Source organism: Homo sapiens, chromosome 7, assembly GCF_000001405.40.
Source record: "Homo sapiens chromosome 7, GRCh38.p14 Primary Assembly".
In the NCBI taxonomy this organism is placed as follows: Eukaryota; Metazoa; Chordata; class Mammalia; order Primates; family Hominidae; genus Homo; species Homo sapiens.
Window position 1 is genome coordinate 96,073,478 of NC_000007.14, and position 25,741 is coordinate 96,099,218.

The 25,741-nt window shown below is 35.7% G+C and overlaps 1 protein-coding gene across 5 annotated transcripts in view, besides 4 other annotated features; it reads left to right on the top strand.

The window, feature by feature from the left end:
* The window catches only part of DYNC1I1 (dynein cytoplasmic 1 intermediate chain 1), a 337,769-nt gene that overhangs the window by 300,924 nt on the left and 11,104 nt on the right, over window positions 1–25,741 (top strand). For 4 of the 5 annotated variants that reach the window (NM_004411.5, NM_001278421.2, NM_001135556.2 and 1 more), the window contains 3 exons: window positions 2,580–2,720; window positions 6,886–7,011; window positions 24,006–24,947. In NM_004411.5, coding sequence (NP_004402.1) covers window positions 2,580–2,720; window positions 6,886–7,011; window positions 24,006–24,116 — 378 coding nt within the window. In that variant the 3' untranslated portion in view covers window positions 24,117–24,947. Of the gene's footprint in view, window positions 1–2,579; window positions 2,721–6,885; window positions 7,012–24,005; window positions 24,948–25,741 lie in introns of those variants that run through there. The other variant, NM_001278422.2, reaches the window with a different exon arrangement.
* Window positions 2,300–2,567: an enhancer, noted in NCBI's record as "eExon 15 5' intron subfragment used in the reporter transgene". NCBI's record gives its function as "moderately activates a minimal E1b promoter in caudal fin and somatic muscle of transgenic zebrafish, with weak activation in pectoral fin; shows higher activity in combination with the exon subfragment {active_cell/tissue: fin | somatic muscle}" and the evidence as "EXISTENCE:transgenic organism evidence [ECO:0001131][PMID:22442009]".
* Window positions 2,300–2,907: an enhancer, noted in NCBI's record as "VISTA enhancer hs2308 and eExon 15 fragment used in the reporter transgenes". NCBI's record gives its function as "enhancer in: limb[8/8] | genital tubercle[4/8]; activates a Hsp68 promoter in apical ectodermal ridge, limb bud mesenchyme and the genital tubercle of transgenic mice, and also activates a minimal E1b promoter in pectoral fin, caudal fin and somatic muscle of transgenic zebrafish {active_cell/tissue: fin | limb | genital tubercle | somatic muscle}" and the evidence as "EXISTENCE:transgenic organism evidence [ECO:0001131][PMID:17130149, PMID:22914741, PMID:22442009]".
* Window positions 2,547–2,720: an enhancer, noted in NCBI's record as "eExon 15 exon subfragment used in the reporter transgene". NCBI's record gives its function as "moderately activates a minimal E1b promoter in caudal fin and somatic muscle of transgenic zebrafish, with weak activation in pectoral fin; shows higher activity in combination with the 5' intron subfragment {active_cell/tissue: fin | somatic muscle}" and the evidence as "EXISTENCE:transgenic organism evidence [ECO:0001131][PMID:22442009]".
* Window positions 23,490–24,891: an enhancer, noted in NCBI's record as "VISTA enhancer hs2309 and eExon 17 fragment used in the reporter transgenes". NCBI's record gives its function as "enhancer in: limb[3/3]; activates a minimal Hsp68 promoter in anterior limb bud mesenchyme of transgenic mice {active_cell/tissue: limb}" and the evidence as "EXISTENCE:transgenic organism evidence [ECO:0001131][PMID:17130149, PMID:22914741, PMID:22442009]".

Here is a 25,741-nt window from a genome sequence, read left to right on the forward strand (position 1 = left end):
ATTAATGTATCAAATAATATCAGTTCCTTAGAAAATGACTGTTTAAAGCTGGATGGTCTTTTAATTGATCAAAATAAGGATTTGCAATTGTGTTACGTGTTTAGTATAGGTCTGTATGAGTCTATCTGTATGAAGACCTCTATACCCTCAGATATACTATCAGCTGAGTTGATGAGGATCCTGACAATTGACTTTTTAAAGCATATATAAACCTTTAACACCCTTTGACTTTGAGAAAAATTTGTTATTCGTGTTCTTTAACAAATAGTGGGCTGGCTAGCTATAAAATCAAGAATTTGCAGTGGGAATAATCTTCTACTGAGAGTTAGAATTTAATATTTACAAGTAGTCATTGAAGGTGCAGCCACTCCACATTGCCTTTTAAAAAATATAAATAAGGAAAAATGATACAATTATGCTATTTTCAGGTGTCATTGGACAGTTAGGTTTTATCGAGAAAGTAGTTTGAATCATGTAGTCCAAACAGGGAGAGAAAGAAAGATGCTACAGAAATAGCCAATAAGCAAATAATTTTGGCTTCAAATCACACTGCAAACATAGTACATAATACATACTTTGGCATAAAAGAATTATAGAATCATAAAATTTAAAAAACTATAAGGCTAATGTCCAGTTGATCATTTTGTTATCTCAATGTCATATAATTCTTTTCAAATCACACCCTCTGTCAGATATTTTTTGAATTAAAAATAAGACACATCTCACTATATCCACATAGTGGCCCATCTAAAATATTCTGTGTTGCTTTAATGTATTAAAAGTTTGTTCAGGCCGGGCGCGGTGGCTCACGCCTGTAATCCCAGCACTTTGGGAGGCCAAGACGGGCGGATCACGAGGTCAGGAGATCGAGACCATCCTGGCTAACACGGTGAAACCCCATCTCTACTAAAAATACAAAAAAAAGTAGTCGGGCCTGGTGGCGGGCACCTGTAGTCCCAGCTACTCGGGAGGCTGAGGTAGGAGAATGGCGTGAACCCGGGAGGCGGAGCTTGCAATGAGCCGAGATCGCGCCACTGCACTCCAGCCTGGGCGACAGAGCGAGACTCCGTCTCAAAAAAAAAAAAAAAAAAAAAAAAGTTTCTTCAGTTCTAAGCGGTGATTTTTAAATGTCAAAGAAATACAGTCCATAGAAAGAGAACTCACAGTTACTACACTACATTTTTGTGTGATATTTAGGTTACAGTTTTATTGTTTTCACACTGATTTTTCTCACTTTCATTTCAGCAGAGATATTTTGTGCATTTTATATTAACAGTTCACTTGGAGAAATCACTCTAATATTTGGAGCCGATTCCCTACAGATACATTCTTTAAACATTCTGTGCAGATAGGATTTGATTGTTCATATTGCATGTTATCTTTTCTTGATCTTATTACTCTGGCCTGTACAGGCATTCAGTGGAACCCATGAAGAGAGTACAGACAGCTGACTGGATGAAGAAGACATTGGGGAAAAAAACTCCCATTGTTTAGATTTCTGTCAGAGGATATAAGAATACTTAATTTCTTTTATCTCTAGGGCTTTCATTATCATTTAAATTTCATTTTACATTAATTGATCAGGGATTAGTAAAGCCATTATGCAGAAATTAGAATAAGACAAGCCAGATGGAATGAATAATTCATGAAGTCCAATTACGTTTTATTTCTGGTGTACTTTCAAACTTGCCTCTGACTTCTGTGCTATTTTGATGTGACAATATTCACTGGAAATCAAGAGTGCCATTTTAATTTATTGTATCCCTCTGGAGTGGAAGCATTTGTATGCACTAGGGGTATGTTAACGCATTTCCACACACACACCCCAACACCCAAAAGTCAATTTTGGGGGTTTTGAAAACACTGGGTGATCTAGGAATACTGTTCATTTTGTACAGAGGTTCAGGGGCACTTCAATGAGCCACACCAGTTCAACTGATTGGGGTGAGCTGACCCTATGCAGAGAGACTAAAGGCGTAGGATCGCGAAATGATTACCTCCTGGAAGAGCAGTAATCCTCTTTAAAATATTTGCACGCATTCCTCTCTGCAAAAGAACCCTTAAAATGTGAATTTGGCCTAGAGTTGGACTGGAGGTAGCAGCAGCTGTTGCAGCTACAGACGAGGACCACGAGGTGGCAGGGGTTGCCTTCAATGAAAGGGTTCGGGGCGGTCGGGACCGCCGGGGCTTCAGAACATCCCCGCGGGTCTGAGCCGGGCCGACCACGGTTGGGTTTAGGCTCCGAGCATCTCGCAAAGCGTTGCCGGGCGAGAATTCCGAACTAATGGAAAGTCCGGTCCACCTGTCTGGAATGTCTCATACAACTCTGTTGTCTGAAACCGCCTCCCCACCCCCGGTCCCAGCCACCAGCCCCTTGAGAGGCCCCCTCTCCCCCCGGTATTTATTTATGCCACTGGACAGTTCTAGTCACATTAAAGCTCCGGTTCACCTTCTCGAGGACTTTCATCTCGGGAAGTTTTATGACACTTTGTGAATGTGCAAAGTTTTTAATTAGGCTCTCTAGACAGCCCGAGGCAGCAGCAGCGCCACAAAGTCTTCACGGTCTCTCTGCTTTACAGCACAACAAGCCGCTCTACTCCTTTGAAGACAATGCAGACTATGTGTACGATGTCATGTGGTCCCCCGTGCATCCTGCGCTTTTTGCCTGCGTGGACGGGATGGGGCGCTTGGACCTCTGGAACCTCAACAATGACACCGAGGTGAGCGGCGGCTCAGGCGCCCGGGCCGGAGGGCTGGGAGGGGGGCGCAGTCGGCCACTCGCAGTCTCTCCCTCTTTCTCCAAAACGGCCTTTTTTGGACAGACCTTCCAACTGCAGCAGGGCTGCCGGCCCCCATTCTTGACTACCCTGAAGGGAATTGGCAGATGCATTGGCCAAAAATCACTTAATCTCCCTTCATCCCTAAACGGTGGCTGCTCTCGGACAATTAACGACCCTTTTTTGCAAAGAGCAAAACGTTATGCGTTCACACCTTTCCCTATGGGACAGGACACACAGGCATTTGTCAGAGCCGTGTTGAAATAACTTTATAGGCAAATACTTGGAAAAGAAAGCTTTTGTGGACGTCGATTTTTAGATTGGGCTTTTAAAAAGGGCTATTTGTCAGTGTTTGCTACTTGTACCGTTTCTATTTTGAATCCACAAAAGACGATTCTGTTGACTATTTTATGTTTAGATCTCTCATCCATTTGATTTGTACCAAGGTAAATATTCCTTGTCTAAGATATCAAATTCAGAGGCAGACTTTTACAACAGTCTCCAACTTTAAACATGAATATCAAACTCAGTATTTTTTTAAAAATAGATTTTAACATGTCACATTTACAGCAAGTGAAAATACCCATTTATTTTAAAAATCAGCCAGTAATAAATACTGTTTTTAAATTATGCTATAAAAATTTATGTTTTAAAAACTATGCCACATGCATTGTTCCTTTTTGCCAGTCTAGCAAAATTACTGAGTTGCTAATTCAGCTACTTGGATTTTTTTTTAACATAAATATTATTGTCCTTCAACTTTATAAAATAAAATGGTCTCTGCATCACTTCTTGGTTTCTGATTCAAGAAAGCTCTCTATAAATAAGAATGGACAGGTAAGAGGAACAAGTGCTGCGAACTATATGTCAAGTGGAGAACAACAAAAAGGTCTTTTGAAGTGTTTTGAGCAGGAAACAGCTCAGCCTTTTTAATTAGGAAGCCCACAGCTGGAGGATCTGAGGAGGAGCACACTTCCCTAGTATTTGTGTGTGTGTGTGTGTGTGTGTGTGTGTGTGTGTGTGGGAGGGGGCAGGGAAATATTCTTCAGGTGTTATTATTAAGTCTTTGTATCTTCAAGGGTATATACACCTATAATTGCTGCCAAGTAGTTATCTTTTAAAAATCTTTCAATTTGAGTCTATTTTTGCTTTTAGCTACAAGAATTCTGTGACAAGAATGAGTTAGGTAATGAAGCATCTTTGAAAATAATCAAAAGGCATGAGTATGTGAAATGTCCCATCATTTGGATGTTGAAATGTTTATAACATTATTGTTTTTAATAGAAAGATGTTATTACCCTACATTGTAAGGGTTTCCCAGAGTCTTCATCACTGTTTATTAAAATCATATTGCTTCTATTTGCTAGGAGAAATTCATTCATTTAAAGCAACCAAAAAAACTAACATTTTCCTGATTGACTTAGGAGACCGCTGTAGTAGAAATCCAGCTTAGTTGAGATGTTTAAGTGATACCCAACTACAATGCATATGAAGGGAGTGAGTGTTCTACAAACTCCTTAACAATTCCTATGTAACTGTTTTTCTTTTAAATTTTTTTTAGGTAAAATGAAACTAATGTCTCAACATTGATAAATATAATTTTTTCCCTTCTCTTTCTCTAGATATCAAGAGACAACCACATAAGAGTTTCATAGCTAAACATTTTTTAAAAATCATTATTGGTCATGCAAACTGTTTAGTTTTGTGGTAAACATAATTCTGCTTTAACAATAATAGTAGAGATACATTGAGTCCAGCTCAAATCCAGTAATGAACCGAACACTTTTTAAAACCTTCAAATCATTTTTGTCTTCTGGCAAGTTGAACAAGATTTTTCTTAAAAATTAGATTTCTTAAAAAAATCTGAATTATCAGTAGAGCAGTATGTTTGGTTGTTGTTTTTATTATTACATTTTTGGACCAGGTTATTCCAGCTGTTCCTATGCAAGGATAGTTCATATTTCCCACCTCAGTATTTCTGATTTCTACTGCTTAATGTAATAATTTATGATATATAAATCTTGCCTTTGCAATTAAAATGATTGAGCCAGGAAAACTGTGGAAATATTTGTGAAACAAAGTACAGTATAAGAGACAGAGAGAACATATGAATTGTTTTTTATTATTCATCAACTTTTGAAAGGTCATTACTGATCGGATTAATGCAAATATATTTTGTCATTTTCTTCATGCATTTATGAATTTTCTAGCGCATAATATAGGCTGTGATCATTATTTTCTATCATTTGTAATATATATGAAAAGAAACTATTTTTAAATGTTTAAAATATTGTTTCACTTTGTTATAGTACTTATATTCCAAATAAAAATTCTTGAAAATGTATTAGGTATTATTTTAAATGTGTCACAATGTCAGTTTATTTTCAGTGATTTTTTTGTTATATTCGTATTAAGATTAAACATTTTATTCTATTTTTAAGATTGTTCATAGATTACCTAATTCTATTCAATATCAGATTGTTCATGGAATTAGGTAATAGAATTAAGCAAGAATCCTGTATGAACCTTCTAAATTATGGTATTAAAAATTAACTTTGAAGAGTCTATAGTTGAATCACAGATTTGTTTTCTGGGCAGCACAGTCATAATAAAGTGTATTGACAGCATTATGATCCATCTAAATTCACATTGTTTCAGCCTCTGAAAGATTTGGTTAAAAATTCAGACTCTAGCTTGCACAGCAGGTACTTTTATTATAGAAATTGTGTATTTTTAAAAAATAAATGAGCCGGGGACTTTTGGGGTTTTTTTTTGTTTTTTTGTTTTTTTGCTCACAATTGACATACAGTGATTTAAGCGGGTGAAAGAATTTTTATTGATTTCAAGATTAAGTTTAAACATAGATTCTTATATATGATGGAGTTTTTATTGCTATTTTAAAGATAGGTATTGGGTCAATAATTTCGTATAAACAGATGGTTTCAATTCCCTGAATAACAAAATGCCGGTGGTGCTAAGCCACAGTACATGTTGTGTTTCCATTCTAATGCGACATGTTTATTAGACACAGGTCTTAAACAGTGGCATGAGATGATCCTAGTGGCCCCCTTTTCACTGTATTTTTTCTTTATGTTTTAATATTTACCTTTTCCTTTCTTAATGGCATGTTGTCATTTCCTATTCAACATTCTTGTAAAAGGCTCAAGAGATCTGAGCTTTATGTCAATTATAAACTTCTAACCTTGAAGACAAGCTTTTACACAACTGATAATGGGAGAGAGGTAGACACACTAAAAAGTCTTTCCAAATACTGAGGCTCTTGGAACAAATACTACAGGTTCCATTGCAGCACCTCCAGTTCACTTTAATTATTATTATTGTTATAATTATCAATGCTTTTAGATTTGAAGTGTTTATTAAAGGAGATATAAGGCATTTTCTATGAGTGGGTGGCTGTATTCTATCACGATGTCACCCTGGAGACAGTGCCAAAGTTGTGGATCGCTTATTACACTTCGGTACTGCCAGAGGGAGGAAGACAGATTTAACAAAAGAGAGAGAAAGAGAGAGAGAGAGAATTTGAGTTTTTTGAAAAATTTTTTTTATCTTTATGTTTTCCTTTTTTCTTCTGATCATCTCCTCCCTGATGAGGTTTGAGAGATCAATACATATGTTTACTTTTTCCTTGAAGACTCACATTAATATGACTTTTTTATTCCACCATACACCTGCTTTCTGCCTTTTTAGTATCCTTAATCTTGGTAAATCCTGAGATCTGTCTCTCTCCATCTGTCCATAAACTATGACCCTATGGGGAAGGATCCCATTTAGCTCCTGTATTTTTTGTTGGATGTACACTTGTCATAATCCAAAGAAATATTCATGCCACTTACTGCCCGGTGACTATGTAAAAAGACTCTCCCTCCTTTTCTTTTTTGTTAAAGTGTCTCTTCTCTCTACCCCTTAATTCAGTGGAGCATATGATTTAAGAACAATGAGCCCTTTTTCCCCCCGGCACAAGGGATGTGTATTACTTAATGCACATGAAGGCAGTTGGTGACTCATCCAGTTAAACGTATTATTGTAAATTTGTATATTTAAATTCATATTCAGAGATTCTTTTATTCTGTTGTGAACCCTTTGGCAGGTTCCAACAGCAAGTGTGGCCATTGAGGGGGCATCCGCCCTAAACCGTGTTCGTTGGGCCCAAGCTGGCAAAGAAGTTGCTGTTGGGGACTCGGAAGGCCGTATTTGGGTCTATGACGTTGGAGAGGTACGTGTGTATTTGTGTTGTTGTTACTGTTTTGACTTGTGTATCTACTTTAGAAACCTAGTGAAATTATTAGCAAGAACTTGTAGGCCACAAGGACCCTCTCTAACGTGCTTGTAAATTTCCATTGACTTCAATGCTAGTTTGGCGAGACTTCCTTAGGGCCTAATTTGATCTTCTGTCTCCATGCACAGAACACTTAAGTTAACAATCTAAGCTCCTTTTAGAGTCCTGTAGAATGTCCCATCATCCTGTGATGGAGTGTGGCACTTCCCACTAATTTCATGAGAATGAAAAGTTTAGAGGCTGGGTGCGGTGCCTCACGCCTGTAATCCCAACATTTTGGGAGGCCGTGGCAGGTGGATCACGAGGTCAGGAGTTCGAGACCAGGCTGGCCAACGTAGTGAAATCCCATCTCTACTAAAAATACAAAAATTAGTCGGGCATGGTGGCAGGCACCTGTAATCCCAGCTACTCAGGAGGCTGAGGCAGGAGAACCACTTGAATCTGGGAGGCAGAGGTTGCAGTGAGCCGAGATTGCACCACTGCACTCCAACCTGGGTGGCAGAGAGACTCCATCTCAAAAAAAAAAGAAAAAGAAAAGAAAAGAAAAGTTTGCCAAATATATCATGCTAAAATTGAAAAGTTGAGTTTTGGTTGGTATGTTCAATTAACATATATACTATTTTTCTTTCATTAAAGTGTAGCCAATTGAGAATGTGATTAATTAGAATTTTGTGCCACTTGGTGGTATTCAAATTTATCATATGAGATATATACCTTTCTAGTATGTCTTATTACATGATACACAAAGTATTCCTGAATGTCATGGCATGTAAAAAAGGAAAAAAAAAAACAACTACACCTTTTATTTCAGACAAATCTCCTTGAATTTGCATACGATCTTAATTTAATGTTACATTATCTATCAATTGTACTTAAGATTGTGTGTTTATTTTTACTGTATGAGAAAGTGTTGACCAAAACCTTCATTTCTGGTGAGGTAAGGAACTTTTTCCTTAAAGAAAAAGAAAATATTGAACTTTCAAGCAAAACAAAATAAGAGCGTTATGTAATGCTATTTTGGCATAATATGAATCTAACATTGCATTCCAGGGGGAAAATATACCACATTTGTATGCATAGCATCCTAGACCTAGAAAGTACTCTGTGAGTGCCTGGTGGATGGGTTTAGCTGATCACACTGAGAAGGGTTCTTTATGGTTTCATCAATCAGCATTCTATAAATTTGGCAATCCTAAATGGTTTGTTCTACAATGGAACTTTTGATGACATATTATATACTGCTATATGGTATAGTTGATTATGTTGGAACAAGCTAGACGGTGTTTTTTAAAATTCAGCCAGGAACAAAAACCGAATGACTTTAGAAATGGGAGTTTTCTATTCTGGATGCATAATTCTAAGTAAAAAAAAAAAATCTCTTGCTTTTACTGCATGTTATCTATTTCATTTAACATCCCCTTGACTACTCCTGATACCACAAGCTGAGTTCCAACAGTGACAAAAACTCTGTTAATATTGGCCCCAGTGGTGAAGATGCAAATGGTCTGGTGACTATTGATATAGTCTGGAGTCTTTGGGAAAGAGAATACCCTCTGAGTCGGAAATACCGCCAGTAGTGTTACAGCAGTATTTTTCTTAAATGAGTATTCTTTATGTTTAATGTATCTTTCTCATGGCCCTCATCAAAGTAAAACTAAACAACAATAACAAAAACAGATATTCTTTATTGGTCACTTCCTAAAAAATAAAAAAGAGCAAAGGAGAATGTTAAAAAAAAAAAAAGCCTTTTCTCTCTCTTTCTTTTCTTCCTTTCTTCCTTTCTTCCTTTTCCTTTCCTTTGTTTATAACAAGTGTAATTGTGGGAGAGAAATACACATGAAGACATGCTCAGAGATACAATGGCAGAAAATAGATAAAATTTAAAAACTCTTTGCTCTATCTCCTTTGCATACACATAACGTCCCTTAACTCACTTAAGATTGTATACAATATTATTTTATCCCTCTTTGTTGTATTCTAAAAGGACTGAAAAACAGATTAGTTTAACAATCTGTTTTATATTTTAAAAGGCCTTTTGGAAAGTCTTTATTTTGACTTAAATGTTATATATATACACACTATATATATGCACACACATACATTCATACACACTGTCTCTATGCAATAAGGAAACACAATATGACATATATACAGAATTTTCTGCAATAAAAGTGATTTTACAGCTTTTGGACAGAATTACTTGAATATGACATATTTTGTGAGTAAATATGATTTTACAAAAGTTACTTTGGCTGATATGTGGCTGCTAAAATTTCTTTCTAGGATGCTATCATCATTTCTAAATTGTAAAGTGTTGTTATACTCATATTTGTACTATCGTACTGGCAGGTCAGGCTGGTTTTCATTTTTATGTTATTGCCCTTACTTTTCTAAGTGATATTACAGACTATAGAAATGTCTGCAACTATAGGCCAGTCTCGCCTATTGTCTGGAGTCTAGACAGGCTATAGAAAAATCTCTGTGACATATAATAGGCCAAACAATTTGTAGGGCTGTTTATCCCTACAAATTCACTACCAAGAAAAAGAAAGGATATACTATTTTATTGAGAGTAGGTAATATTACAATCTCTAGCCCTTCTCTGAATGACCGAAAATCAGGATAAGCTTATACACTTGAAGAGTTCTTTAGGTATTGTTTGATCATATACAAAGCAATCTATAGCTCAGAAAAACTCAGACTTAACAAAATAATTGCCTTAACTGTGGTTTTATAAGTATTTTTATAAATTATATTTATTTGGGTAGAAGGGGAACTTTTGTGTTTCTCTTTGTCACCACAAAGCTTTATTCTAAATCGCTGAAGACCTCGTCTGTAGAGGTACAATGTACTAAAAGGAAAAATGACTTCCCTACATCTGAGGCTTAGCTGCAGCCCACTTCTGAAAGAGGTAGATCCCTTAAGGGCAAATGCTGCCATTACTGTGATTACTATAGGATCGTTCACCAGCCCAGAACTGACAGAACATAACTGTGCTTAAAGAGAAGTGCACCCTCTAGACAAGTACCTTCTCAGCCTTCCAAATCACCTAAACTGCGGAAGGCCAGATGGAATGCTTCATGGCAGGGTGGCACATTTGGAATTAGAGGTCTGATCTAAGGCTGGTGCATGACTGACTGCAGGAAGGGTCGTCGAGCAAAGAGCTATTCAAGAAGAAACAAATAAGGTATTGAAGACTAAATTGCCAGTAGGCTCTGCCACCACTACCAATATTCAAAATTGGTTCCCTGGTCCCTATTAAAACGAAACTCATAACCACAGTCATGCTGGCCTTTAGATAGAAAACCTTGCTTTGTAGAACCCTCTAGAAAGAAGACAAAATGCTCTTAGATAAGCTTTGTAATACAATCTGTATTAAAAAGTAGATGGTAGGTTTTTTAGAGCACACAATGTTGGTCCATTTTCCTCAGTACGTTGAATACATGTCTGTGGGAAGACATCTCATATTCATTCTCCCAGTGTTGATTTGAGGAGATTTTTTTTTAGGCTGGGGAGAAAAGAGGGGCCTGTAGGCTAGCTTTTGCCAAGACCTTGTTCCACAAGTGAGGCTGTCTTGAAGAGTATAGGACCTGTGCAATTGCATAGGGCACCGTGCTTAGGGGAGCCCTGAGCTTGGGTCATTGTCTTAAAATTGTTAAAAATTTGTCAGGAAGGAACGCCACATTTTCATTTTTCACTGAACCCTGCAAATTAGCCGGTCCTGTCAACTAGAGTGTTACTCTTAATGCCACTCATGAGGCAAATCAGAAAAAAAAAAAAATAGGCCTTAACCTAGATCATTAGGAAGAAAGAGAAATCTGTAGAAATGTAGTTAAATGGATGGACACACTACAATCTTCTCATTACCTGTTTCTCTTTTTTTTTCTTTTCTTTTTTTTTTTTTTTTTGAGACGGAGTTTTGCTCTTGCCCAGGCTGGAGTGCAATGGCACACTTCTGCCTCCCGGGTTCAAGCAATTCTCCTGCCTTAGCCTCCTAAGTATCTGGGATTACAGGCGCATGCCACAACACCCAGCAAATTTTTGTATTTTTAGTAGAGACAGGATTTCGCCATGTTGGCCAGGCTGGTCTCGAACTCCTGACCTCAGGTGATCCACTCGCCTCGGCCTCCCAAAGTACTGAGATTACAGATTTGAGCCACTGCACCCTGCCTCATTACCTGTTTCTTAAAACTACTTAAAAATGTTTAATGAGAAGGGCCACGACTCTACATTATAAACGTCAAGGTACATATAGAGCTAAAGCCGTACTGGAGATCCCAATTCACCTCCCACAACCCTCTTTTGATCACATCATAATTTTGCCTGAAAATATATTAATAATATAATTTGGGGAAAGATCTCTGAGATGCCTACCCCAGTTGGAGTGGAGCGGGACAGGCTTTCTCTGTCCACACCATTGTTGAGAACTCCCTGAAGAGAGACTGCTGTGAGCACTGATGGAAACATCTCCATTCAAGCCCAGGTAGTCTTGCCTTCCTGTGAGCCCTGGCACTCCCTGATTAGGGCATTGCAGAAAGGGACTCTGGTGTTACCAGTCACTGACAGTCATCTGCCTCATCTCCTGTCCCAGCTGAGGCTGCAGCTGCTGCAGGGAGCCCCAGCTCAGTACCCCCATGACCATGCCTTTCTCTTATTATGTACAATTATCCTCTATGACTTTTAAGATGATAGCAGAGAGCACAGTGGCTTGAATCCAGATTTAGTGGTGCAATTTATTATGAACTTCTGAAGGGGTAAACACAGGATTGTGTATGAGCTCACTGAAATCACCAGACTGAGTTTGTCCATCTCCCTTTTTTTTTTCTTTTTGTTACATTTAAATGACAAAGACATGAGTAATATCCCACAGCCTATGACTCAAGAGGTAAAATATAAAACAGCAATGTTTTCAGGTAGGTCACATGATGCTGTGTTTATATAGCACACATTTTTGGTTGTTTGATTTCAGCATTATATCTGGAAAATACACTGTACACATTTATTTTCACAGATAGGGGTCTATTTTCTTTGCAGAGCAGGTGCTGAACTCCCATTAGCATAAATGGAAGTTATGCGAATCTGAATCTGACAAAAGACAGAGAAGACCCCTTTTTATTATTTGGCTATAATTTTTACTCTATTTGTGCCTTCAAAAGTTACTTACATAGACAGTGGTTGCATGCACCATTTAAATTTTCTGAGATTCAAAATTAAAAATGAGCCTAGCTTCTGAATAAGTTTTGAGAAATCTCCAAACTATGGCTTGCAATTTGTTTGTTTTGGATTGTAGGAAGGATTCCATTCAATTAAATGAAACATGGGTAGGATAATAAGTCAAAAATTAACTATTAATATACCTGAAAACAGAGCTATTGTTGGATTTTTTTTCAAATGATGTATGAACACACATTTTAAAGAATTAAAAATAAAAACGACTCATTGCCATGTCTCCATTACTGAAGAGCAAGCTTTTCTATGCATATAGAGCTGACTTCAACAGCACATAGGCCAGTATGTATAGAATTATTCACGTGTCCTGATGATTGATAGCCAGCCTATCTACCTGTCTTTCTTGCAGATGTGTTTTATAGAAAGCCCACCGCCATTGTTAAGGCTTCAGTGCTGTCACACAGATGCAGCTGTCATAAATATCCCCTAACAACTATGTTTGCTGCTTATCTGAATTAGTTAGAATGCTGTTTGCAGCTCCAGTTTTGAAAGAAGCAGTTTATCTTCCACCTCCTATTATTTCTTTTTCCATTAACCTCTTCCAGGGAAGATTTTGTTTTCAGTTGTGATAAATTCACACAGGTTTCAAATCCCTGATTATATTTTACAGTAGTCAAATGATAAAATTACAGAATCATTTTCAGCTCAAAGTAGGATTTGAAGAATAAAATGGAAACTTAAAAACCATGGTTTGAGAGACGGACAAATCTTATCCTAGCTTTATTGATTTGGTATCCTATTCACTAGTTACCTAAGAAAATATGCATAAATCTTTAAATTTGAACTCTGAACTTTGATAGCATTTCAAATAGCTTGTTTGATACGACTATTTGGGGGCCAAAAGAATAGTATTCATTTCATTACAAATTTCAATAAGTATAATACATTTGACATTGGATATATGGGCTTTGAAAAATTCTTGGAAAAGAAAGATGTGGGTTAACATGAGAGATCAAATGTAACACTGCCAAAAAAGTAAAACATGATTTTAAATGTCCATTTGAATATATTTTAAAGCCAAAACGAAAAATCAAGAGAGAAAAGTTTATTTGTAACGCCAACAGGAAGAATGGCCTACACAATATATTTTAGAATGATGGTCAAGGTGTTACATGTAAGAACTGTTAACAAGTGCCTCAAATAGTTTCATAGCCAGCAAGAATAAGAATAAAAAAAAGAGATTCAATGGGCCATTTTTTTATGCTTTCAACAGTAGTTTGATGTAGTGGCATGTGATAAACTGGAAGTACTGGGAGCTAAAAAGGGTTTGAGTAACACAAAATAAATACAATACAATGATGATTTTTAAGGGGAATCACACTTAGGCAATAATAGTGTACTTTGTGGAACTCCTTCATGTTTTCCAGTAATACAGGGCCTACATCAATTCTCCATAAGCAGCCTGTGCCTTGAATATAAATAATTCTCCTCCTTGAGGAAGTGGGCATACGAAACACAAAATTGAAAAGTTAAACTTAGATTTGGGAGGTTAATTCAAACAAGAGTCCCTTAATAAAAAGAACTGCATTTGCAATCAGCCAGTTTTAATAACCGTGCTTTATGAAGGCCTTTGTCCCCTGAGCAAGGCAAACCTGATTGCATGGCTCGGTTTTTGCAGCCTCCAGAAGAGCACAGTTGGTCTCAGCTTAGCAAGATCCAGGTATGATCATCTGAATCACTGGTGTTTCTCATTAAATGAGTGTGGCCATTAATTTCCTAGATTCTTGAAGGCCTTTGCAAGTACTGGCTTATTCTTAGGTGGATAAACAATATTATTTTCTTTAGCTGATACCAAATACTTCCTTTGATTTTCTCTCCTTGAAAAAGAAAAGACTTAGGCGTAAATTCTTCCAGTGATACCAAACATCCAGATAAAATGTGAAAATCCAAATACCTGGTTCTGTCGATAACATCTAGATAGCAGTTGATGGCATAAGAACAAAGCATCAAGCTTTTCAACTGGATTTTTCAGTTTTTACTTGAATTTTTAGTGTTACAGCCCCAATGCTGTGCTATTAAGTCAAGGGGCACCAAGATATATTTGCATGGGCAGATTTGAGATGCTAATAAATATAATTATGTAAAATAAGCCACTTTGAAATAATATATTAATTCATTTGTCATAACAAATTATATGTATTTGAAATTAAATATTTTGGGTAAAATCTATGATTGTAATTTTGGTATTAACTTTATTTCTTCTGGGAAAAGTGCTTAATTTAAAAAAGAAAAGGCGCAATTAATTCCAATTAATGTTGTAAGTATTCATCTTATAGTACGTGTAATAGCTGTGGCTTTCACTTTGATAATTATATATGTAAAAGACCATGATTAAACTAATTATTATATAAATAGTGTGCTTATTCAGGTAGCATTAGTATATGAAAATGGACTTATAGGATTAATATCTTCTCAAGCAAATGTTTTTTCTGAATTGAAAAGAAATACTTATGACTTCATGTATTATGGAGTAGTTGATTCAATGAAAAGAAAGCCCTAATATCTAATATTATAAACAGCAAATTAATGTGTGTATAGTAATTTCAAAATTCAATGAAGTTCATATATTCTCATTTTGGTGATAAATGATCTATGAATATAAACCTTCTGAAAGAAGAACCAGTTTGTATAACTAATCATCTTCATGATTCTTCTGTGGTTTCAAACTGTCATCTTCAATGGCAGTTTGGATTATGAAGCAGTTGTTAATTATAGTGTTAATTTTTTTATGGCTGACAAAATTGTGTTTAGTTCTATAATTTCAAAATTGCTAAATTTTATCTTGAAAAATTGCTGCTTAGAGCAGTAGCCTCAAATCACAGCTTTAAAAGCTAAATGTGAAGTCTCTCCAATCATCTGTGAATCGAGATTAACCCGGGCCTGTACAGAATGGAGTTGTTTCTTACATGTGTATGTGTGCTACTGTTGGCATATCTAAAATATAATACATAATCAAATATCTGCTTATTCATGTTTCCTGTGTAAATATTTATACACCACGTAGGTCGGACTTGAAAAGCGAGGAAGTGAATGAATCATTATATTTCACTTTCAAGGAAAGCTTACATGAATTTTTGAGAATGTCAGCTATCAGAACATCTTTTAAATTTTAAAGCATGAGTTACTTATCATTTAAGAAATATCCAAACTGCTAACATTGTAAAAGCAATTTCATACTTTTAACCTAGTAGATAAATCAGTGGCCCATTTCTAAGCTCTTTCTCCTAATAGTCAACCAATAGTTTCTCAATTCAGATTAAATTTTTTATTTGTATTGGTCTCAGCATTAAGGTCCCTTAGATAGAAAGTGAACATAAACTAATATTTTCAAAGTGAATAAATAAATAAGAAAGTGAACACCTTCTAGTATGATTTAAAAAAAAAAAAAGTTACCCTTGTGACTTAAAAAAAAAAATTCAGATTGTCAGCCCTCCCTTGATTATCACATTCCTCAGCTTCTTTTTTAACCTTTGGAAGACCACATCCACAGAATTGTACAAAAAGTGGTTATTTGACAATTGTCTATTAAAACACAATAACCCAGTCTAGCAAAGTGCCTGGCACAAAATAGGCACACAATAAATATTTGATGGGTGAATGAATGATTCACATGTGAAAATTTGAGGAAAAATTAAGGGAAAGCTTAATTGTTTAGAGCATTCAGGATGTAGCCTCCAAGTTGGCTACAGATTGATGCACAGGAAAAAAATTACTTAACTGTAGTTGCACAGAAAAGGATATTTAGAAAATATCTTTAGAAAAGAGTACTTACCCTTCCCCCCAATCTCTTTCCCAGTTTCCCTCCCCTCCTGTGCTTTTAAAAGTGAGCAGTTGGCCACTAGTGTAATAAAAGCATAACCGTTGATTCAAACAGTTGTCAAACCACTGGAAAAATGCTTCCTTTTCATTGTGCTTTTTTTGGACACTATAGATATGGTAAATCATGAACTGCGTTATAAAAATACCTCTTTTGTGCCCAAACATTCAGTAGGAGGGAATGACATTTCTTTTATTACCTTGGTAAATGTTTTTAAGGTGTTTAGCAATAAGCCTTCTTTTTGTCAAAACTGCTTAGACGCAGTGGTTGCTAAGAATTTATTAGAAAACCTATAGTTAATAATATCAAGAAAAGAAGGGATATGTGTTTAGTAGCTAATATGACAGTTGAGCTTGTGTAGCACATGCTTTTGCTTTTTCCTACCATTTTCTTGATCTTTTGTGTTATGGAAAACAAGTTATTCATGTTTAGAAAGTTTATTTTTCATTATTGCCCATCAACCAGCGTTTTTAGCATTTTCTCCATCTTTTGGGCAGAGAAATAGATTGTTCCAAATAGTAGGGAAAAAAATAAGGCGAAAAGATTTCTGAGGAAAGAAGGATGATAAGATTTTAATACAAATGTGAAGAAGACTATTCATCTTTAGGTCTTTGTGAATTAACTCTTTCTTCGGATATTTGTTGTTGTTGTTGTTGTTGTTTTGTTGTTGTTTTTCTTCCACAGGTAAAACCTTCAGAATGTTGTCATGCTTCCTATAATGCTAAATTTTAACATGAAAAATATTTTACATGTTACTTTCTTAAGATAGTGTTTAAGGAGAAGGATATATATTTCCTTCTATATTCGCTGGCTTATTGAAATTGATAGAGACCCATATTTGTTACTATTTACTTGACTTTTATGTCCTACTTTTATTTCTTTCCTTAATTAGGTGGTAATGGATTTTTTAAAAAGTGTTACTGTAAAAAAAAAACGTGGTAAAAATAGTAAAAATAAACCACTCCTTTAAAGATACAAGGGAAGAGACCTTTGGCAGAGAGGTCTGAAGCTTCATGGGTGGATGAGGGTTCCCTTAGATGGGATTTCCAGATGAAAAGAAATTAAAAAACAATCAAATACCATCTGACCACCATAGGTAAGAATGTTGCTTAATTTTACAGAAATTTGTACCTATTGACTGGTAATAGCAGACTGTGCTGTACAGAGACTAATGTAACTCCTACTTTGTCGACTTCTTTGAAACTGCTCTAAATAAGTTACATACCATATATCTTTTTGTGGTAGAACACTGTAGTATATTTACACCCTCTGTATATTGCATTCTAACTTGGAATTCTGGTCCGTGGTTTCATCCATTGTTAGCTGCGATGCTAGACTCTCCCGGGAGTTAAATACAGTGGGGCTGTATTTATGTGAAGCGGGTATGCTTGGTCGTTCAGTGGCTGTTTCATTGCATATTACCTCCCACTTTGCTCCCATCTGTGTGTGTGGTAAAGGGAATTGTCCTAAAAAATACAGGCTTCCTCTGAACACAGACATGTATTTGTATACCAGTAAGTCAACAATCTCCTGAATTTGGGTGCCATTAATAATTGTCCTTTTTAAAAGGCTTTTAGAGCTTAGAGGGGGTTAGCAGTCGTTCTGTGGAAACCGATGTACATTTCCACATTTTCTGTAAATGCATTAAAAAATAATGTGTATTAAAGTGAAAGGAAATCTGTAAGATATCTTTTTAACAGAAAACTTTAATTTTTAGATTAATACAGAGATGAATTGTCGTGTATCTCTTGGAAATCAATGGTTAACATGATAGTCTCACACACTTTTTAAAATTACTTCATCTAATTGAAAAATTACAAAGAGGCTGATGAGCCACACATCCATGGAATATTTATCTTGAAACCTAGAGTCCTACTCACTTAATGTCTTGGCCATACTTCATGTATCTGAGAAACCAACTGAAATCAGAGCGCTTTTCTAACGTCTTAATTATGCAAGATTTTAAAAAAAGAAAACTAAAGTAAGCAATACCTGAGACAGATATTTTTACTATGAAAAATATTGCACTGGGATGGTGAAAGTTACTGCAGATAATGCAGCTATTTAAAATTATTATAGCTGCAATTACTAAAAAATGAGGAAGGTTTGACTGAGAACTATTCAAAATAGTTATTAGCCATGTGATTATAAAAAGGAACACATGAATGATATTTGCATGTTTAACCCTGGTTATAAAAAGTCATTTGATTTTTTTAACAGCATGTACAGCAGTTACAAATCCTTACAACTTTAGGTAAAAATGAAGAATCCCACTGTGGAAAGTGCCACAAGGAAAGAGCTGGATTAGGATGTATTAGTCACATGTGAAAAATAAAAAATATGTATGTGCATGTCTACATATGTGTGTGGATGTGTATAGTTACAATAAATACTTATATTTTAAACTTGATTTTTAAACCAACAATGGAAAGTAGCAACTCTGAAAGAATTTTTCTTGTGATTTGAAAGAACTCTTTCCCTGTCCCCCGTTCATGAAAGTTAGCTATTATTAAAAGCCTGACTACTTAGGAAATTATTTGTGTGGGTATTTCAGACATAAAATGTGATAAAATATAAGGTATACTTCTAAAAAAAAAAGTACAGCTCTAAATAGGTGAAAAGAAGAAAGAGAATATGCAAGGAAGAAAGAAAATAAAAAAATTGGAAGAAAGGAATAAACATTAAGAAGGAAAAACAACATCATGTATTCAGGGTTTATAGTGTACAAGCACTGTGTTAAGCTTATTACATTTTTTTGTTTTATTTAATATACAGTCCTAGAAGATGGATCTTACAATTTGTTTCACACAAATGAGGAAGTAAAGATCAGAAGTGTTAAAACCATGCATTCCCTAAAGACACACAGCAAGTTAATGGCAAATCTGGGAAAGAAACCAGGATCTGGCTGGTGAAGCAGAAAAAAAGTCAACCCTGGCTCCATTCTCAAATGTTATTACTCCACAGTCTGTGCCTCCCTTTAGGTATACAGGACACCCAGGCAAGGCGAGCAAGGGTTAGACTGATAAGTTTTTCAGGGGTGAGGTGGGACCGGGTTCAGAGGCAGCCTCCAGTCCACTCAGGCAGAGAGGAGGGGACTGATCCCTGACATGGTCCGAGAAGTAGTGGGGTAGCCTGGGTGGTGGGGCTCTGGGAGGCTAAAATGATACATTTTCATGAATTTTTCCACAACTTTTGCACTTTTGCTTTTGCTTGTAGACTTTTTGTCTTCCAAGAATCTTAGAAGATTTAAAACAATCTTTACAATCTTTGAGCAGGTGATTCAAAACACATTACCTGCCTGCCCTTCTGTCATGGAATGCTGGCATTTCTCAAAGGGGTGAGTCTTGATTGCCCCACACTAACAGGTGAAGGTTATGTGGTCTTTAGCAAATCATTTAGCTCCCTATACTGTCCTCTCCTACCTGTTAAAGAAAGGTCTACGCCCTGCTTCTTAACATCCTCACATAACAATCAGAATTAATTCCCAAGGAAATTTTTTTAAAAAACAGAAAAATACTGTAAAATTGGTATGCATGCCACAAAACGTATCATTTTGGGGAGCTGTTCAATTTGACTGACAATTTAAAGAAAAAGAATGCATGACAATCCATGATGAACTCATAGTACTTTCTTTACTTTGATTACCTTTCTCATGCTCTCCACATCTCTGTTGATGAATGGGTCAGATATCATCATCCTTATTTTACAATTGAGGCAGTGAGAGGGTAAGTGCCTGACCGTTGCCAGCAACCAAGATAAGAACAGGACTTGAGTCTCCTGTCCAAATCTGAGGTTCATTTTACCTCTTTCTTATGTCCAAATTGCTACCTCAGTAACTACCTTTGCCCTTAGTTTCATTGGCTGTAAAAATGGGATTGTATCATATCTATAAAAGGTGATCTCTTTTAGAGTTAAGATTTTATTATCTCAGGAATCTGAGCCTCAAGTACTTTTGGCATGAAAATGCTTTATATGTTTAGCAAAAAATTAGAAAACAGTCATTGAATCAGGAGATGGACTGGCTGTTGGTGAACTCAGTCGATGAAGCAGTTGGAATATCTGAGTCATCCCTAACCTATGATGCAGACTTCATCAGAGATGAATCTGGAGGCAGAAAATGTTTCCAGATCCACATTGACTTAGAACAATGCTGGGAAATTTTTGAAGTTTTTTTTTTTAATGGTGTTCCCTTAATTGAACTATACATTTTTAATTGGTCAAAATAACTTATGATCTTTTTTCCTATCACAAACATAAATTGTTTGGAAATTATTCTAAGCTATTATTCTCAGAGAAAAAATCCATAGTGATACTCTAGATTTAGCCTTTATGCCTTAATAGAAACTTGAAGAGATGCTGAAGCAATGTTATTAACATGCCATTTGCCTCCCTGTTACTTGCTTGACACACAACAGATATCAGGAAATGTTACAGTTGTCACTGAAGGAAGGTAAATTTTAGGCTATTCACTTTTTAATGTCAGTGAAGTTTTTTTAATGCCAGTATTCACACAGTTTGACCTACAAAAAACATAATTAATTTTTGTCTGTATTTCATAGTCTTCATATTCCAAAATGATTCACTACTGTATCTTTAATTCAAACACAGTGCCTGACATATAAATGGCACTCAATCAATGCTGATTGAATGAGTATTGAATACATTTATATGCAAGGTAGGACATGAGAGCAGTCTGTTCTGTAAGAAACATGAACAAAGATTTTTCCTATTTAATGATTAAGATAGTGTTGGATTAAAAAATCTCCTAGAGAAAATCATAAATGCATTTATGTTCTTGAGCCTACTTTCTAGCCATTTCTAATCAGAGACTACCACGTGAGAAGAGCCAGGAACTGCCAAGGGTAAGAAGGGCAGTTCTGTCCAAACAGATGCCATTTACAGTCATGGAAACAGCAAAGTGAAAAGAGTGGCCCTGGCCCTCTTGTTTGTTAGGACACCTGTTTGGTCTTACCTACAAGTAATTCTAATGCCAAAAATTATTACTTTGGGTGTAGAAACAGCCTGTGAATACACATTCACACTTTCAAGCTAAGATGATACTTAAAGTACTTCCTGATGGTGATATTTAATTCTAAAAATGGGGCAGTCTGCAGTTCACCTTCTAAATCTAACATTACAATCACCTTGGGTTATTTTTACAGTCAACAAGATGAAAAGGATAGTAGGATGAGGTAGATAAATTGATTTCAAGTTTCTAGGAGGAATTGTGTTTTCATCATGTTCTACTCTAGAATTTTTGTGAAGCAAGAAAATAAATATTTCTGTGAAAATTAAGATACCATGAAAAGGAAAAGACTTGGCAAAACAAATATCCCTAAAAAACAAACTTCAAACATTTTGCCAGTCTAAATGAAACTTCAGCAGATCAAAAAGAGGACAAGATGTGTTAGATTACTGTGACACTTTTATGAGGGTGAATCTATATTTCTAAGGGCATGTGTTAGTATTACAGCACTATTACTCCCACCTCCATGAAGAAAGTCACATGTAGTTCACTCGCTGGCTTATGTTTTGTGTGTTTAACAGAAACATTTAAATTTGATAAAACTCATTTTTATGAAGTTATGTAATTTTTGAGATGTGTAATTTTATATAGTGTAAATGAGACTCACTTCTGTTCTAAACTGTGTGTAGACATTTATTCAAACCTTAATGTTCCATAATCTTTACTAGGGCCGTTTCTGAACAGTCTTGCCATGACTACTACATGAAACTATGTAAATACATTTACCTATTTTATTGTTAATAGTCTATAGTTTCTACACATGGCTATCAATAACATATTGCATAGGTCATCATGTATTAACTTAAATTTGTACGATTTTAACTAATAATATAGCTTTATGTTTGGGAACCAAACTCAGCTCTTTATGAGCAAGGTACTGTGTATTATTGAGACCTATTTTTTTCTCCAATATTTAAAGTTATATGAAGTTATGGGGCATTTTAGCTTTAGCTTGATTCTTACTTTATATGGGAAAAAGTTATAAATGTGTTACCATGATTAGGCTTTTGTCTCTTCTTGGGCTTTTGTTTCATGGTTATTTTTGGAAAGGCTTGCTCAGCGGTTGGAAGAAGGAAAAGAAATAGTGGTCCTATTCTTTTACATAAATGTGATACCAACCCTTAGTTGGTTATGGTTTTCGTGAGCTTGTTTGTATTGTACATTTTGGGGGCCTCATTTTCCAGGTGGAGTATTTTCTAAAATTGAAGAAAAAAAATGAAGAATCGTGGAATATAGGAAAAGAGTCCAAAGTAGGGAAAACAGACTGAGCAAAAGGGTATCAGAATCATTCAAGACTATTGTGAACTTGTGTTATTGCCTACAAAGAAATTTGGATTCATTTCAATAATTATAGTAGCATTTAACCATTCAGAAACTCATTCATGTGACTAAGTAAGAATTCTTATTGGTACTGCACTTCGCAAAATAAGTCAGAGAACTTACTTTCCTTGCCTCTATATCATTTCCAGAATTATATTCTTGAAACATTTAGCCTTAATACCAGAACACTAATTTAAGGATATACTTTGCACAATGAAGTTGCCACTTTCCAATAAGTTTTCTTGGACAGATAGTATTTGAGAATATTATCCTTGTAATAAAAATTTTAAGTTCTAATCATTTGGCTCTGTGTGGTGGGAAATTTTCCAGCTGTAGAAGCAATCTCAAAGCTTAGGTTTATTTGCTTCCTCTTTTTTCATTAAAAAATATATTAATTGAGATGGCTGTATGTTCTTAATGTTTATGGAATATGTGGATAGTGTAGTGTAGCACTAGTACCTATAGGTAAATTACACTATATTATAGCGTAAAACTCCAAGAAAATGCGTGTAAAATCTAAATGAATTTTATTCTGTGTGAAAAGCATTCAGACTTCTACTAAATCCTGTTTCTCATCCTCAAATTTTTTTTTCTATCCCAGATACTTGCATTATATTTTTAAGCAATTTATTTTTGGATGCTATGTGGAGAAATCATTATCCTTTAAAACGACTAACAAAAATTCATACATTCAGTTTGCATTGGAGGAGGCGTTAATTTCCTCCTCACTGAATTGTACACAGAAGATGTTTTGGAAATTTTATAAATCCCCCTTTTTGATGAATCAGTATAGCATACTGGCTAAGGATGCTCATACTGGAACCAGATTCCATTGACACTTATATTTGCTTGCTATGCAACCTTGGTAAGATTATTTAATCTTTCTGTGCCTCTAATATAGGAATGTGAGGCACAATAGGATTATTATGACGAATGAGTTAATGCATGTAATGTACTTAGAACAGAACTCTTGGTAAATAATAGCTACTATTACTACTATTCATAGTTATCATCATATAAATCTTACTGGAAAGGCCCAAGTACTATTTCATAGGAGGAATATTTCTTTGTATATATAAGCTATTCTTTTGCCCTTCATACTGCCCCATCAGCAACACTTTAGAAAAAGGATTAATACCATTGACTAGGAATAAAATATACAGTTATTTGAAAATCTTGGTCATTATATGCAGTTTTTATTTGCGTGTTCACTGTAAGTCTGGTCTTCTTATGAAAAAAATTTCATTACTAAAAGCACTTTGATGTGGCTACTGTAATTGTATAGTTTGCATAGGTTTTTAAAGTTTTATAAATTATGTGAGTGCTTTTGCTTCCAAGAGTGACATGGTTCTCTTGTTAGTTTAAGAGCAACACCTCAGGCCCTGCTTGATCCAAAGAAGAATGTTTGATTTCCTTTACATTCCAAGGGAAACATCTGCTTTGGAGGGTGTGGGGGCAAAGGGACAGTCATTCAGGCTTCAAGGCTTTCAGACATGAAAGATATCTTGTTCATCATTTCTCCATTGATTTGCTTTGCAGCTTGCAGTTCCCCACAATGATGAATGGACCCGATTTGCCAGGACCCTTGTGGAAATTCGTGCTAACAGAGCTGATAGCGAGGAGGAAGGCACTGTTGAGTTATCTGCCTAGTGGAAATGAGCCACCCCCACTGCAGCCCCCACCTTTGTGTCCTAGAGCTCAGCGTCTGCAGTCAAGTCTCTTGTATTCGGTGTCCATTCAGTATCAGTATTGCTGTGATATTTTGGGTGCCATATTGTGCCAGCTTTGCTCCAAGTATTCTAAATGTGTCCCATCATGCTTTCCACTGACCCAAAATTCACCACAGCATTTCTATCTTTATATTTCTGTCTCAAAAATGAAGAGAAGGGGGTTATGGGTTAAGTTGCTGCCTTTTAACTACTTTGTAGCTGTATTTAATAGCTGGAAACCTCTGGTTAAATTTGTGCTTACATGCACTCCTGGCATAGTCCTATTAAATCCATATGAAGCCAGATATGATTGGGTGCAGATGTGGTGTTCCTCATATTATGGTACAGGGCCAAAGACTTGAGACGTGGTGTTTTACATGGTGACTCACATTATGAATGGATTTACTAGAAGAACATTGCTGCTCCTTATTTATTGTAGTGTGCTGCATGGAACGTATTTATTTGAAAGCATTAAAATAAATGATCCTAGAGCATGTGCATAATGAGAGGACTGTATTCTCTCTGCTGCTGTTGAGGTTATATTAAGTTCCACATAGCAATTACAGTATGCCAGTTCCACTGAAGACATGAAATCTTTAGAGGTTTCTTGCAGTGAACGAAATGAATTTTAATGCCTATTATTTCTGGGTACTTTAACAATATTTCAAATATCATTGACCACTAATACTTCTCACTGAAGCTAACACAGTCTGACAAAAGTCTATGGTTCCTAAATATGACATCAGTGTTGCCAATAAAATGTTTCAAACCAGGTCTGCACCAGTGTGAGTAAATCCTTTGCTTGGGGAAAGCTTGACTGGAATTCTGCTGGGACAAGAGATGGGAGAGATACATTAGAGCCATGTTAAAGACTGATCATGAATTTATTTGAGCAGCCAACCTGGCTGGACTTAAACCAAGACTCCTAGTTTTATTTTTATGAGGGAATGTGTGTGGTTTTTTTGGAAAGCTCCTCCTTCTCACCTTTACCAAAGCCACCCTTGCCCAAAGACAGTTGTTGGAGTAAGAAAGGTAGGTTAAGACGAACAAATACCAAATGTCCTACACATTTCTTCTTAAAAACAATTTACACCAGAAATGATGTTTATTACTATTGGACTAGGAAATATGTCTATAAACAACTTCAATAAACTTTTTTTCAAAAGGTCATTTTATGCCCAGGGAAAATGAAAACAAATAGCGGTTGAGTCATGAAAAACATTCGAAGACAGGCTTTCGGCTTTTTAGGAAGGGAATTCCCATTGGGACTTTGTTGGTAGGGATTCCTTCAACTGTACGGTTTCTTTTATTTTTAAAATAGTATCATACTTTTTCTCCAAGTAGCCTACAATATTTAGATATTGAAATCCTTTGTAAACAATAAAAATTTTATAGATAACAAATGAGTATCTGGAATAGGTTTAAAAGCATTTGAATGAAAAGTACTGGGAAAAAAAGTTTCACAGACATACAGTAAAGTACCTAAGAATAAAAATGCAAAACGCGTGCATTATTATGATAGACCAAATTGAATGATTCGGTGAGTGATGATGTGAAAAGTACAAA